This window comes from Homo sapiens, chromosome 9, assembly GCF_000001405.40.
Source record: "Homo sapiens chromosome 9, GRCh38.p14 Primary Assembly".
Classification (NCBI taxonomy): Eukaryota; Metazoa; Chordata; class Mammalia; order Primates; family Hominidae; genus Homo; species Homo sapiens.
Window position 1 is genome coordinate 33,984,003 of NC_000009.12, and position 16,592 is coordinate 34,000,594.

At 39.3% G+C, this 16,592-nt stretch overlaps 1 protein-coding gene across 9 annotated transcripts in view, besides 1 other annotated feature; it reads right to left on the reverse strand.

Moving 5' to 3' along the window:
- The window catches only part of UBAP2 (ubiquitin associated protein 2), a 127,507-nt gene that overhangs the window by 62,310 nt on the left and 48,605 nt on the right, over window positions 1-16,592 (reverse strand). For all 9 annotated transcript variants that reach the window (NR_163243.2, NM_001370059.2, NM_020867.2 and 6 more), the window contains 4 exons: window positions 14,785-14,862; window positions 12,221-12,331; window positions 4,971-5,124; window positions 2,758-2,835 (listed from right to left, as the gene is read on the reverse strand). Coding sequence is in view for 8 of the 9 variants with exons in the window: in NM_001370059.2 (NP_001356988.2) it covers window positions 2,758-2,835; window positions 4,971-5,124; window positions 12,221-12,331; window positions 14,785-14,862 (421 nt within the window). In the remaining variant the exon portion in view is untranslated. The remainder of the gene's footprint in view (window positions 1-2,757; window positions 2,836-4,970; window positions 5,125-12,220; window positions 12,332-14,784; window positions 14,863-16,592) is intronic.
- Window positions 4,845-5,346: an enhancer, noted in NCBI's record as "H3K4me1 hESC enhancer chr9:33988845-33989346 (GRCh37/hg19 assembly coordinates)". NCBI's record gives its function as "activates a minimal SCP1, AML or CMV promoter by ChIP-STARR-seq in primed H9 embryonic stem cells {active_cell/tissue: H9 hESC(primed)}" and the evidence as "EXISTENCE:reporter gene assay evidence [ECO:0000049][PMID:30033119]".

Sequence of the window (16,592 nt, forward strand, 5' to 3'; positions counted from 1 at the left end):
CCCCAGTTCTCGTGCCTCAGCGTCCCGAGTAGCTGGAACTACAGGCACACACCACCATGCCCAGCTAATTTTTGTATTTTTATTAGAGATGGAGTTTTACCATGTTGGCCAGGGTGGTCTCGAACTACTAATGTCAAGTGATCTGCCCACCTTGGCCTCCCAAAGTGCTGGGATTACAGGTATGAGCCACCACACCCGGCCTGAATCCCTGGGATTTAAAAATATGGTCTCCAATTTAGCCTCAGCATTAAGGAAGTATCATCTAAGAAATTTGCAGGATGATATTCATCTGAAAAGGGACTAATATTCAGACAATACAAGGAATCTAAACAACTCAACAGCCAAAATATAAATAATCCCATTAAAAAGTATGCAAACAGCTGGGCATAGTAGCTCACACCTGTAATCCCTGAGATTTGGGACACTGAGGTAGGAGGACAGCTTGAGGCCAGGAGTTCCAGACCAACCTGGGCAACATTGCAAGACCCCATCTCTTAAAAAAAAAATTTTTTTTTTTCTTTAAATTAGCCAGGCATGGTGGGGCTCATGCCTATAGTCCCAGCTGCTCAGGAGGCTGAGGTGGAAGTATCACTTGAGCCCAGGATTTCAAGGTTGCAGTAAGTTATGATCATGCCACTGCACTCCAGCCTGGGCAACAGAGTGAGACACTGTCTCTTAAGAGAAAAAAAAACAGTAGACAAAGGATCTAAAAAGACAATATACAAATGGCCAAAAGGTACACAAAAAATGCTCATCACTAAACATCAATAAAATACAAATGAAAACCACAATGAGATATCATCTTACCCCAGTTAGAACGGCTATTATCAAAAAGACAAAAAATAGCCTGTAATCCCAACTACTGAGGTGGCTGAAACAGGAAGATTGCCTGAACCCAGGAGTTCAAGACTGCAATGAGTTATGATCATGACACTGCATTTAACTAATTAAGCAAATTAAACAGATGCTGGTGAAGATACAGGGAAAAGGGAACTCTCATACACTATTGGTGGGAATATAAACTGGTACAGCCATTTTGGAAAACAGTATGGAGATTTATCAAAAACAAAAAATTGAATTACCGTATGATCCAGCAATCCCATTAGCAGATATTTATACAAAGAAAAGGAAACCAATAGTGCTTCATGTTTGCCAGGTTGTGGTGGCTGTGGCAATTTCTATTTTTTTTTAATTTTTAACTTTTTACAGATACATAATATTTAAACAAATTTATGGGGTACATGTGGTACTTTGTTACATGCAGAGAATATATAATTATCAAGTTGAGGTATTTAGGATATCCGTTACCATGAGCATTTATCATTTCTATGTGTTGGGAACTTTTCAAGTCCTCACTTCTAGCTATTTTGAAGTGAAGCACTATTCACAATATTCACAAATATAGAGAATCAACCTAAGTGTTCATCAACAGATGAATGGATTTTAAAAAGTGATATATTTACAGGTTGGAATACTACTCAGCCATAAAAGAATGAAATCACGTCCTTTGGAGCAACATGAATGGACTTGGAAGACATTGTGTTAAATAAAATAAACCAGACACAGAAAGATAAATATCACACGTACTCACTCATGTGGGAGCTAAAAAGGTTATCTCATGCAGGTAGAGAGTGGAATGATAGTTACCAGAGGCAGAGAAGGTGATGGGTATAGAGGGTGGGGAATAAAGAGAGATTGGTGGATAGGTTAAAACACAGAGAGAAGGAATAAATTCTAGGCCGGGCTCGGTGGCTCATGCCTGTAATCCTACCGCTTTGGGAGGATTAGGCAGGTGGATCACTTGAGGCCAGGAGTTTGAGACCAGCCTGGCCAACATGGTAAAACCCCATGTCTAGCAAAAATACAAAAATTAGCTGGGCATGGTGGCGTGCACCTGTAGTCCCAGCTACTCAGGAGGGTAAGTAGGAGGATTGTTTGAGCCCAGGAGGTGGAGGTTGCAGTTAGCTGAGATGATGCCACTGCACTCCAGCCTGGGTGACAAAGTAAGACCCTGCATTTAATTATGCCTGGATAATTTTTGTATTTTTTTGTATTTTGTATTTTTTCTGAGACAGAGTCTTGCTCACTTGCCCAGGCTGGAGTGCAGTGAGGAGATCTCGGCTCACTGCAACCTCCACCTCTTGGGTCCAAGCAATTCTCCTGCCTTAGCCTCTCAAGTAGCTGGGACTACAGGTGCGTGCCACCACACTTAGCTATTTTTTATATTTTTTGGTAGAGACAGGGTTTCCTTGTGTTAGCCAGGCAGGGTCTCAAAAAAAGGGAATAAGTTCTAATGTTCAACAGTAGAGTAAGATGACTACTTAACAATTACGTATTATACACTTCAAAATAGCTAGAAGTGAGGACTAGAGCAAAAAGACTACAACTCACTGAAAGCTCAAATGATCATAGCCTTTTTTAGCAATAAAGTATTTTTAAAATAAGGTTTAAAAAACCCTATTGCATTGTATTCCAAACGTAATACAATTATAATTTGTCAATGCTTTTGGTTAGAGCTTTAAGTTTTAAATTATTCATAGGGCTTTCTCAGCTCATCCAAAAACAACCCTTTGGTTTCTTCAAAACTACATAACCCAAAATAGTTCATTTACAGGCATCAGTAAACAAATGATCAGATTTTAGATGACCTGCTATTCTTTCAGAACACACTGCCATCCCTAGTCACAGTCCAGCAACGCAACTGCCTGCTTCTTCCCCCTAATTGAAAGCATTTTCTTCCCTCTTACTCTAGCTTACCTCTACCCCGGGCTCGCTTGCCACGATCTGAAGGTTTGTCCACTTGATTGCAATCAATTCCATTTTCTTCACCTCTAACTAGGGGGAAAAGAGCAGAAAAATCAAATTTCCATTTCCAAACCTCTTGTACATAACCTTATCAAGCACCTATTAAAGGCAAAGAAGGAATGACAAACAGGCTACAATTTAAACAACGGGTTCAAAAACAGGAAAAACAAAAACAAAAGTGACTTAAAAACTGAATGAGGTCAGGCACAGTGGCTTACACTTGTAATTCCAGCACTTGTAATTTCCAGCTGAGGGGGGCAGATCTCTTGAGCCCAAGAGCTTGAGACCAGCCTGGGCAACATACAAAAAAATACAAAAATTGGCCAGGCACAGTGGCTCACACCTATAATTCCAGCACTTTGGGAGGCTGAGGCGGGTGGATCACTTGAGGCCAGGAGTTCAAGACCAGCCTGGCTAACACACGGAAACCCTGTCTCTACCAAAAAATATAAAAATTAGCCAAGTGTGGTGGCGCGCACCTATAGTCCCAGCTACTCGAGAGGCTAAGGCAGGAGAATTGCTTGGACCCAACAGGCGGAGGTTGCAGTGAGCCGAGATCTCCTCACTGCACTCCAGCCTGGGAAAGTGAGCAAGACTCTGTCTCAGAAAAAATACAACATACAAAATACAAAAAAATACAAAAATTATCCAGGTATGGTTGTGACAGCGTGCAGCTAGTAGTCCCAGCTACTCAGGAGGCTGAGGTGGGAGGATCACCTGAGCCCAGGGAGGTCAAGGCTGCAGTGAGCTGTGATCATGCCACTGCACTTCAGCCTGGGTGAAAGAGTGAGACCTTGTCTCAAAAAAAGTGAAAAAAATATATATATATGAAATCACATCTTCCTTAATTCACATGAAAATTCTGAAAATAAATTAACATACTGATTTTTCTTTCTTCTTTGTGGACTTGCTGTGAAGTTTTTGCTTCAAAAAAACTACTTCCATTATGCAACTACGTTAATGTATCACAGAATTTGCTCATTAATTAGGTTCAAAGCCTGGAAAGGCACAGAATAGCAAAATAGCAATACCAAGGAAACCCTGAGTTCTTAGAAAAACTAAAGTGTTGGAGTTGGGTTTTTCTAGGATACTAACAGGAAGATGCCAACACGCAGTCTTTTCTTTTTCTCATCCCTATATTGGCATTAATAGCTCTACATAATACAGAAATTTTATGAAGGATATTGGCATGGCTTGCTCCCCTCACCTCTTTCAGAGGCTGACTCACATGAATTCCAGTGAGGCTTTCCTTGGCAACCCACTTAAATTTGCCAGACCTCTTCCCATAATTTGCATCTCTGTTTTTCCCTATAACATAATTTCTACATAACATCATTAAAATATATTAATATAAAATATTTTATTTTCTTTATTGTTACATCCCATTTGACCTTCATTAAAAGTTTTAGAAAGGCAAAGATTTTACTTACTTTATTCATTGCTGTATGCCTATAAAAGTATCCACTACATAGTAGATACTCAATAAATATCAGTGGAATATATGAGACAGCAAGAGTCTCAGGGTGATATGTTAAATATTTACATTTTATTCTTTCATAACTTAGCTACACTGACACACTGCCAGAGCAGACAAGGTTGTTTTGCATAAACAGTGACAAAACCTAGAAAACCTAGGTCTAATGGAAATGAGACCTGCCTATGAGAAATCCTGCCTATTCAGCAACTTTCCTCTTAATCTAACCCTTGTCTATACCATGAGTGTCTATAAATGGAGAATATAAAACAGCTTTATCTACCTGTAACTAAATGGCCCCTGGCCCCTTCTTTGCCACACACACACCATTCTAAAATTAACAAATGTGTCTGACTCATAACAGAAGGGAGTCATCACACTACACAACCACCTGCCTACAGCCCAGGTCAATGCTGATACGAAACCACATGGGAGGCGCTTATGAAACTACTCAGGTGCCACTCATTTCTAGTGTTAACTATTAGAACAAATTCTGCATTGAGGAAACGAATTTATGAGCATACTATGGACTAATCTTTCAGTCGTTCAGAATGTATGGAAACTAAGAAAAAATTTGAGAAAGCTGAGCGCAGTGACTCATGCCTGTAATCCCAAAACTTTGGGAGGCTGAGGCGGGAGGGTCACTTGAGATGAAAGAAGAGAAAAAACTGAGGAGAAAGTCTGTACTTACATTCTCTGCCACGATTGCCGCCTCTTCCTTTCCGGTTGTTGTTTCCACGTCCACGACTCGATTCTTTCTCGCTTTTCTTCTCTCTATTCTCTTTGTTTTCTGAATTTTCTTTTGCAAAATTCTTTTTCTTACACCCTACAGTCTCCCATGAAGTCTATCAGAGAGAACGGCTGTTAATCATTTATCATTCAAAGTGTGTACAATTATCAAAGGCACATGCATGTATCTTTCTTTTTTTTTTTTTTTTTGAGACGGAGTCTCGCTCTGTCGCCCAGGCTGGAGTGCATGGCGCCCTCTCAGCTCACTGCAAGCTCCGCCTCCCAGGTTCACAACATTCTCCTGCCTCAGTCTCCTGAGTAGCTGGGACTACAGGCGCCTGCCACCACGCCCAACTAATTTTTTGTATTTTTAGTGGAGATGGGGTTTCATCGTGTTAGCCATGATGGTCTCGATCTCCTGACCTCGTGATCTGCCCGCCTTGGCCTCCCAAAGTGCTGGGATTACAGGCGTGAGCCACCGCGCCCGGCACATGCACGTATCTTTCAAACCTAACTACCCACAGCTTGCAGCTCACCTGCTTATCATTTAAATTCTTTCCCTATAGTTCTACTTTATTGATGATGAAGGTAACAATCCTCTTGCTAAGCTCCTGTTGCTAAATAATTACAGCTATTAGCTGACCTGACAAAATACTGTACATTTTCCCAACATAAAGCCCTTTCCTATGCAAATTTAGGAATACAGTAAAAGTCATTTCCCCAAGCTCCTATTCTACACCACCTCACTTACCTCTCTATTAGGCCTTAAATCTACTTATTAATTCAAAGACCACAAAATTACTTAGAATGATGCCCCAAAAGCTCCAGGAATACAACCTTGCCTGTTCCATTATTCAAACTAATTATCTAAAACAATTTAATGGCAGATAAGTAAAATTTTAGCTTGGTTTTGGTGGGTTTTTAAAAAATTTATAAAGCACCTAAATTTTTAACCTCCAAAGAATTCTTCTAGTGAGAAGTCAAATAATTTATATAACCTCCCTTCTCCACCTCTCCCCTAATGGTGATACCAAATCTAATCTACCATATATATATATATATAAATGGCTGAGAAAGAAAAAGATACTACATTCTTGACTATAAGTGGATATAAAAATTATCAAGCAGGGTAGTTACAGAGAAATCCTAAAATTGGCCCAATAGTTTCCATTTACTTATTCATAATCTGCCTTATTTCAGAAGGGACTGGAAATGACTCCATCCAAAATTAAGAGTAACTGTTTTATGCTTTTTAAAAATCTTACAGAAAAACAAAATTTGACATTATATATCCAAAGTAAACATTAGCACTGGAAATTAATAAACTAAAATTTGGGTGATAAGTTGAATTATTTCCATAACAGTGGAAGCCAACTTCCAAACTCTTTTTTTGAAATGGAATATCTGGTCTTCTGCAAAGCTGTGATGAACTCACATATTTAATTAGATATAAAATGGATATGAAAAAGATATAAATTATGTTCCACCTCTAAGCTTTAATAATGAAGACTGAATATACTATCACCTGATAGTTAAGGTGAAACAATGAGGTATTATCATACAGTTCTGGTGAGCATGCATCTATTGTAACCTTTCTAGAAGGTTACTTAGAAATAGTACCCCCCAATTTTTTTTTTTTTTTTGAGACAGAGTCTCACTCTGTCACCCAGAGTGGAGTGCAATGGCACAGTCTCGGCTCACTGCAACCTGCATCTCCTGGGTTCAAGTGATAACTCCTGTCTCAGCCTCCCGAGTAGCTGGGGTTATAGGCGTACACCACCACACCCAGTGAATTTTTGTAATTTTAGTAGAGACGGGGTTTCACCATGTTGGCCAGGGTGCTCTCGAACTCCTGACCTCAGGTGATCCACCTACCTCGGCCTCCCAAAGTACTGGTATTACAGGCATAAGCCACTGCGCCTGGCCTATTTGGTGCATACTCTTTCAACCCAGCAATTCTACTTCTAGGCCCTTATTCAAATAAAACAACGTGGCCGAGCACACTGGCTCACGCCTGTAATCCCAGCACATTGGGAGGCCAAAGCAGGAAGATCACTTGAGGCCAGGAGTTGGAGACTATCCTGGCCAACATTGTGAAACTCTTATCTCTACTAAAAATACAAAAATTAGCTGAGAGTGGTGGCAGGCACCTGTAATCCCAGCTACTCAGGAGGCTGAGGCAGGAGAATCAATTGAACCTAGAAGGCTTGAACCTGGGAGGTGGAGGTTGCAGTGAGCCAAGATCACACCACTGCACTCCAGCCTGGGTGACAGAGCGAGACTCTGTATCAAAAATAATAATAATAATAACGTAAGAATTGTTCAAACATTTATGTGCAGACAAAATGATCAACAGCATAAAAGGAGGGGAGGCGGATTCCCAAAATATCAAATTCAGGAGACTAAGTAGTCTAGTGTATCCATAAATGGAGCAGTATGTAGCCATTTTACCAGTTACATAGGTACATATAGAAAGAGGTCCTTGATAGAAAAAGCAAGCTATCAGCAAACAGCATATAGAATTACATTTTTTAGTTCAAATAGGAGCCTATGTACTTACTGAAGGAAGAGGTATAAGTCATTATTTAAGTGAGGATGTTTAATTTGATTTAATCTTTAATATTTTTCTGCATTTCTTTTCTAATTAAACAATAAAGCTTATCTATGCCAGAGAAAATAATGCCCACACTGAACAAACTCAATTTATTATGTTTGCTAATATGAAAATACTAGACAACTGTGTAAAACAGAATCCAGTCCTCTTAGGTTAGAATACAAAAAGTAAATTCCAGAGGTCCTGGAAAAATCATCCCAGAAGAGTTGGCATAAAGTGTATGTATACACAATGTACATCTTTACACAGCCTCGCCGAAAGGTACTCTATCTTTATAAAGGGGCCAGCTGTCTTTGTAAAACATCTGAGAAACACTTTACCCCATTTCATATAGCAAATGATACCCTGGCCAGGCACGGTGGCTCACACCTGTAATCCCAGCACTTTGGGAGCCCAAGGTGGGCAGATCATGAGGTCAGGAGTTCCAGACCACCCTGGCCAACATGGTGAAACCCCATCTCTACTAAACATACAAAAATTAGCAGCCGGGTGCAGTGGCTCATGCCTGTAATCCCACCACTTTGGGAGGCTGAGCGGGTGGATCACCTGAGGTTGGGAGTTCAAGACCAGCCTGACCAACATGGAGAAACCCCATCTCTACTAAAAATACAAAATTAGCCGGGCGTGGTGGCGCATTCCTGTAATCCCAGCTACTCGGGAGGCTGAGGCGGAAGAATCGCTTGAACCCGGGAGGCAGGAGGTTGTGGTGAGCCGAGATCACGCCATTACTCTCCAGCCTGGTCAACAAGAGCAAAACTCCATCTCAAAAAAAAAAAAAAAAAAAAATTAGCCAGGCGTGGTGGCACATGTCTGTAATCCCAGCTACTCAGAAGGCTGAGGCAGGAGAACTGCTTGAACCTGGGAGGCAGAGGTTGCAGTGAGCTGAGATCATGCCATTGCACTCCAGCCTGGGTGACAGCGCAAGACTCCCATCTCAAAAAAATAAAAATAAAAAAAAGATACCCTCCCCATCCTACTGCCCCTCAAGCAAAGTCTTGGTTTATGAGCTCTACAAAGACAACTTATCGGGCGGAGGGGGGGGGGCACAAATAGGGAAAAGAACCTTTAAGAAGCAATCTTTACAATACCATAGTAACTGCTAAAAAGATTACTGTGTATTTTGCTGAAGTCTGCAAAGTATACACACATGCATACTTTAAAAAGTTAACCAAGTAATTATGGAGGATTTCCAAGAGAATTTCTGGCAACCTCTGTTATCGGTATTTTGCTAGTTGCAGAACAGGTCTGAAGAAACTCTAAGAGGAGAGGTCCTCCCAGCCACCACATAATAATCAGAACAGCAGTCTTCGAAGCCAGCTAGTTCAAAAATTACTCTCCCACCACTTTGCCTTTGCCAAAAACTACCAACACAAACAACTTACTAAAAAGAGTTAAGTACATTAATTCAAGAGACCGATACTTCAAAACAATTTTGTCACATCAACCAAACATTATGATGAAACAAAAAGTTCAGTACTTATGTTCAATATCTTCCTTTGTGACAGATATACTTACATAAGAAAAAATAAATTTATCCTTAAAAACATCATGGACGATTCCACTTAACACCTTTTCCAAGTAATAATTTTGTTTCAGCACAGAGGAAGGTTAGATAATAGGAAAAGAATCGTTTGCCTTCATGCTCTTGCTCCTAGCAACATCACAGTGTTTATATTCTGTCAACCCTACTCCAATTAACTCTATCTCAGTCAAGGGAAGATAATCAAAGCTGTTTAGCCATAGGTGCTGCAGATGGCAACTAGGTAAGAGATGAGGCAAACAGTATGAGAGACAAGATGTACCAGAGAGTGGTCCTCAACAAACCAGGGTTTCAAAGACTCCAGCCTGAGCAACATAGAAACACAGAGACCCCCTAACTCTACAAAATATAAAAATGATTAGCCAAGCGTAGTGGCATGCGCCTGTGGTCCCGGCTACTCGGCAGGCTGGAGGATGGCATAAGCCCGGGAGGTCGAGGCTGTAGTAAACCGTGATGGCACCACTGCACTCTAGCCTGGGCAACGGAGTGAGACCCTGTCTTAATAAAAAACCCAAAACACCAAACAACTAAAACAAAGACTTTACCTCTACTTCTGTCCCCCACAGCCCACTCAGCCCTGAACAAGTGTATTCTTTCACAACTATATTCAGAACTTCATTTGCTATTTTCTTATCTTTGAAGAAAACAAGAAGTCAGATATAGCCCACACTATAAAATCGTTCAAGAGGTAACCAAAGAGGTGTTCTTCATGAAAAGTTCAGCTTTGCTTTCTTTTTTTTTTTTTTTTGAGACCGAGTCTCGCACTGTCGCCTGGGCTGGAGTGCAATGCCGCGATCTCGGCTCACTACAACCTCTGCTTCCCGGGTTCAAGCAATTCTCCTGCCTCAGCCGCCTGAGTAGCTGGGATTGCAGGCGCCCACCACCACACCTGGCTAATTTTTTGTATTTTTAGTAGACATGGGGTTTCGCCATGTTGACCAGGCTGGTCTCAAACTCCTGACCTCGTGATCTGCCCACCTAGGCCTTCCAAAGTGCTGGGATTACAGGCATGAGCCGCAGTGCCCAGTCAGTCTTACTTTCTAATACATAGCCCAGAACCAGCTCCTTCAGGTTCGGTCCCAAAGGAGGAGGGGGTGTTAAAACTCAAAACAGAAAGAGAAAACTGGACATTTAAAACTTAAAAATTCACCAAACTACCAGAGAAAAGGAATTAAATCTGCTGGAGCTAAAGGAAAGGCAACAAAAAATAGTGTCTGGACTTATCTCTACCATAAAAAGATCCAAAAAGATCCTCTCCAGTGAACAATTTGGGTTATTTTGTTTATTCCCAAAGATTTTTTCTTTTTTTTTTTTTTCCCTAAACAAAGAGGGCGGTTAGGCTCTTCAGTTCACTTTGAAAATAACTGAAAGCCACTCTCTGCTGTACCCATTAGCGATAAGGTAAACAGATCCTCCATATTTTGCAAAACCCAGGATACTTAGTCCCAGGTCAGTAAACAAAAACTATTCAAAATTTTAATTTATCATATAATATGGTTTTCCCAAAAAAAAAAAATCACAAATTTGATGGTTTGTCTTGTGTACCAGTGTTCTCTTACATGGAATTTTACCAACAATTACTGCTACACTCAAACAGTGAAATCTTTTCCACATTAGTTAATTTTTACTTTAAAAGAATTCATTCTCTTTGTTTCACATCAACTAAAAACACAGTCATTTTAGCTTTCAGTTTCTCAGAGTTCATTTTTGTATTTCTTGTACCTAATGCAGCATGACCCTAAAATGAGACTTCAATTAAATCTGAACACTGACACGGTCAGTTTGTTTGTTTTAAATTTTCCAAGGAAAGGTAGTTATTGATGTGTTCATCTTTGTATCCTCTTTTAGGTGAGTCATTTTTTTTTAATCTACTCTAAAATAGTTTCCTCAATTTAAGAAACATAAACACAGGTCAGGTGTGGTGGCTGACACTTGTAATCCCAACACTTTGGGAGGCCAAGACGGGTGGATCACCTGAGGTCAGGAGTTTGAGACCAGTCTGGCCAACATGGCGAAACCCCACCTCTACTAAAAATACAAAAATTAGCTGGTCGTGGTGGCGCATGCCTGTAGTACTAGCTACTTGGGAGGCTGAGGCAAAAGAATCACTTGAACCCAGGAGACGGAGGTTGCAGTGAGTCAAGATCACACTACTGCACTCCAGCCTGGGTGGCAGAGTGAGGCTGTCTCAAAAAAATAAATAAATATATAAATATATATATTAAATATAAATATATATATAAAGTATATATATTTATATATTATTAAACAAATATTATAAATATTATATATAATATATATTAAATATATAAATATATTTATATTATTAAATATATATATTTATATTATTAAATATATAAATATATTTATATTATTAAATATATTATTAAATAATTTAATTTAATTTAAAATTAAATTATTTAAAATTTAAAATTATTAAATAAATATATATTTATAAATAAATATATACATATGTATAAAAACTATAATATATAAATATAAATATATACACACAGCAAAATTTTAGGGCTGACAAGTGCCTGGTGTAGCTTTAGCTGTATCCTTCTTAAAATCCAAGGCCTGAGCTCATGAGCCTGCAAGCTCACCAAACTTAACCCAATATTAAAAAAAAAAAAGAAAACTTAATATTCCACATAAGCAAATACATATACCAGCAAATCCTGGTTTTCTGTTATAATAGAGATGTAAGAAGTAATCAGAGGTGAGGACTGAGATGAAGAAACATAAGCAACAGAGCCAAGAGATGCTTTTCAGGTGGGGGTGGTGAAAATATACACAGGCACAGAGATTTTTGGAAACTGTAAGGCTGGAGTAGATCACCAAGTTCTCTTTCAAGTCATCAGATTCTACGACTTCATGAAGAAACCATACATAACAAAAACAGTCTTTTCAGGTAATCGTTCTTTCTGGAACTTAAAACAAATATGGAATGGCACCATAATCCATTCCATCCCTACCCCCAAACAAGGTGAAGTTGAAAATGTGCTACGGAATTGGAGACAAATGTAAACAATGCAAATCAATTAATAATACTTACTGTGTCTGAATTCCCTTCCAGCAATATATTGATAGCTTTGTTCACATCTCCATTACAATCATGTAGGGCCACTATGCATTCATCCTGATTTTTCCCTGTCACTTCCATAAGCTAGTGAACATATCAGAAAATGGTTAGAGGCAAACAAAAAACTGGCACTTGATATTAAGATTCTTCTATACAAATACAGAATTACATAATCCTTCTACATGAAGATGGCCTCTTCTAGACTCTTGAGTTTACAATGAGGACATGTTTACTTATTTTTTTGTGGCCATTCCATGCATGTCTTTTCACTAACACTGGTAGAATCTAACTACAAATCAATCTTCCTCCAAGTTGACCAAGGAGCAGATCATTAATCAGCAGCACACACATACGTACCAACATTCTCAGAATACCCAAGATCAAGTATCTGAATAATCAAATTTAATTCAAGCACACAGGATTCCTAAACTTAAATATGAGGTGGAACTATATGAGTACACGGTCATCATTCATGGAAAATCCAATACAAATTTTTTGTCAGGGACAATATTCCATATGCTGGCTTTCACCATTTGGATTAGAACACTTCAAAGGCCAGCCGCAGTGGCTCACAACTATAATCAACACTTTGGGAGGCAGAGACGAGAGGATTGCTTGAGCCCAGGAGTTCGAGACTGGACAATATAGTGAGACCTCATCTTTACAAAAAATTAACCGAGCGTAGTGGTAGGAGGATTGCTTCAGCCCTGGAGGTGAAGGTTGCAATAAGCCATGATTGTGCCACTGCACTCTAGCACAGGAGACAGAGCGAGACCCTGTCTCCCCCCTCAAAAAAAAGAAGAAAAAACATCATTCCATGTACATACTAAGTTATATGACACCCTAAAGTCTTACAAGTGGAATTCTGCTACTATCACAAAACACACTCCTAGACATATTTTCTCAAGGATCTTCAACATGGTGCTATGCTTGAAGTAATGATGAAAGAAACTCTTCAGTTTATTCTCATTAGCAAGAGATACTTGTTACTTAGCATTTTCATCACTAGAACGATCACAGACTAGGCAAAATGCAGGTTTCTCAAGTATCAGTGAATAAATCTATGATTTAATATCTATTGCATTTTAACTACATTTAACTATTTTAACATGTACTAGCTGAAGTTCAAAACAGCTTGATCCCAACATATCAAGTGATTTGTCTATGGTCACAAAGGTAATTAATAGCAAAGCCCATCTAGAACCCAGGCCTCCTGATCTCATAATCACAGCTCTCTGCACTATACCATTTGGCCTCCCTGCTTTCATCTTTTCATTTTATCAAGCAGCAAAAGTTCTGCATACTCTATAGCTTTCTGATGCTTCAGTCTTTGGATAGCTACTAATAAATGTCTCATTTTTATCAATGATCTGTACTAAGTGAATGCCTGCAACATACAATTTTTAAGACACACAGTCAACATCAAAATTTCCCCAGTGATCAGATTATTGACAGACAGAACTAAAATTAGAACTTAAATCTCTGAACTCCTGGGCCAGTGTTCTATCTATACTATTCAGATAAAAGGCAATGTAATATACAGAAGTATATCTCAAACTGTATGAAGATCTCATTCCAGAGAAAGAAATCTATGATTTCTTGTGAGACAAAACAAGATTTCATTGTGAGACCTTTACTCCAAAGAACAATTATTAGACGACATCTACCAAGAGTTGGAATATCTGGCACTGAGGTAGCGGTTACAGCTTGGTTTCTAGGATCTTGATGAGAAAGGGTCAGCAAAGAAGAGTTAGAAATTAAGACTAAGTTATCAAAAATACCTCTTATTAAAGTTCAAAATGAAGACATTGCCTTAAAATTTAATTTTATACTTTTCCAACAAGAGTATGAAATCACAACCATGTTTGAAATGGCAATTCAGGCCAGTAATCCTGTAATCCCAGCACTCTGGGAGGCCAAGGCAGATTGCTTGAGCCCAGGAATTCAAGACTAGCCTAGGCAACACTGCAGGACTCTGTCTCTACAAATATTTTAAAAATTAGCTGGGCATGGTGATGAACATCTGTCGTCATAGCTACTCAGGAGACCGAGGCAGCAGGATAGCGTGAGCCTAGGAGTTTGAGGCTGCAGTGAACTATGACAGCACCACTGCACTCCAGCCTGGGCAACAGAGTGAGACCACGTCTCTATGAAAAAAAAATTTTTTAAAGGTAATTCAGTTCATCTCTAACATTAAACACAATTCCCAGAGACTGTGCCAAATGTTAGATATACTTTCTATGCACAGGTATCGGAAAACCTCAGTGTGCTTACAGAAATGTCTGGTTCAATGTTCACATGTAAACACTAGTAACTCAGAAAGATTATATTGTAAGGCAGGTGAACGTATTCAATTCCTTCACTTGCCCACCAATAAAGGTATTTTTAATCACAAGTCCAAAATCCAATATACAGATTTCAGGTGAGACTAGAAGCTAGAAGTAATACTTTAAAACAAAAATCTTTACTGAAATTATCTTTTTAAGCACAATCAAAATAGATTATAAAAATGATGATATCCTTTGCCAGAAACATACCTGCTTAACTTTAGCTTCAAAATCTGAATCATTCTTATCAAAGATCACTTGAGCGAGACGCATCTGTTCAGCTGTTGCCTGGAAAGTACATACAATTGTTAAGGATTTGAACACCAAAAGCATAAGTTAGATTCCAAAATCTGGGTCAAACAGATAAGGCTCTCAAGCACTAGAAATACTAAGTAACAACAAATAAAAGACAGTGAATTTAGGCCTCTCAACCATATATAACCTGTTCCCATAGGAAAAATAAGCATCAAATTAAGTAACATAAAGGACCCATTCCTTTGACCAAACGACCTAAAGCTATTGTTCATCTTAACTGGCCAATGACTTACTTGAATCTTCTTTCCCTTGGTAGAGTGGGGGAAATCAGCTCAAGAGAAAGCAGAAGAACAAAAAATAATAAAATCTTGGCGGGGCATGGTGGCTCATGCCTTTGGGAAGCCAAGGTAGAAGCACTGCTTGAGCCCAGGAGTTCGAAATTAGCCTGGGCAACATAGAGAGACCCTGTCTCTATTTAATTTTTAAAAAGATTAAAAAAAAAAAAGGCTTAAAAAGTAATGAAATCTTTAGAGGTAGTTGGTAGGCAAAAAATAATAAAAGAAAAAATAAAAGGTAATGCAAACAACTGCCCAGACACAGGCTTAGAACTTTGTGTCAAAAAAGCTCTGTTGTCAGGTCTAAAAAGGTATGCTGGTCAGTTCTGAAGAAAAAAAGCTGTATTTAGCTAAATTAAAAATATTTTTAAAGTTACATTATCTTTTTTATACACAATAATTTTGTTTTTCTAAGAGACAGGGTTTCACTATGTTGCCCAGGCTGGTCTTGAACTCCTGGGCTCAAGTGATCCTCCCACCTCAGCCTCCCAAAGTGCTGGGATTACAGGCCTGAGCCACTGCATCTGGCAAAAATTACCCTCTTCACGATTTTTTCTTTTTTTGAGATGGAGCCTCATGCTGTTACCCTAGCTGGAGTGCAGTGCCGTGATCTTGACTGTGCAACCTCCGCCTCCCAGGCTTAACCAATGCTCCTGCCTCAGCCTCCAGAGTAGCTGGGATTACTACGTATGTATGTATGTATGTATGTATGTATGTATGTATGTATGTATGTATGTATGTTATTTTGAGATGGAGTCACACTCTGTCGCCCAGGCTGGAGTATTTATTTATTTATTTTGAGATGGAGTCTCACTCTGTCGCCCAGGCTGGAGTGCACTGGCACGATCTTGGCTCACTGCAACCTCTGCCGCCCAGGTTCAAGCAATTCTTCTGCCTCAGCCTCCTGAGTTGCTGGGATTACAGGCGCCTGTCACTGCACCCAGCCGTATTTATTTAATTTTTTAAAGGTAGGGTCTCATTCTGTCCCCTCAGACTGCGGTGTAGTGATGCCATCATAGCTCACTGCAGCCTCCAACTCCTGAGTTCAAGAGATCCTGCCGCCTCAGCCTCCCATGTAGCTTGGACTACAGGTGCGCACCACCACATCTGGCTATTTGCAGAAAAACTATTTACTTTTGTCACTCAAAATATTTTTTCAATCACATTACTGACTGAAGTTTCGTTTTCTGATGTTTTTACCAACAAAAAATCAGAAAAGTTCTAAAGAAAGTTATTCTTCTGTGGCGTGACTTTGTAATGTGCCAGTCTGGTTTCTTAGTTTTAACGAAGGTACCGTAATTATTACAACAGGGAAATTAGGTGAGGAATATACAGGAACAATCTGTATCATCTCTGTACAACGGTCTATTAAATCTAAAATTACTCCAAAATAGTTTAAGTTGCCTCGCTAACCAAGTCTATACTAAC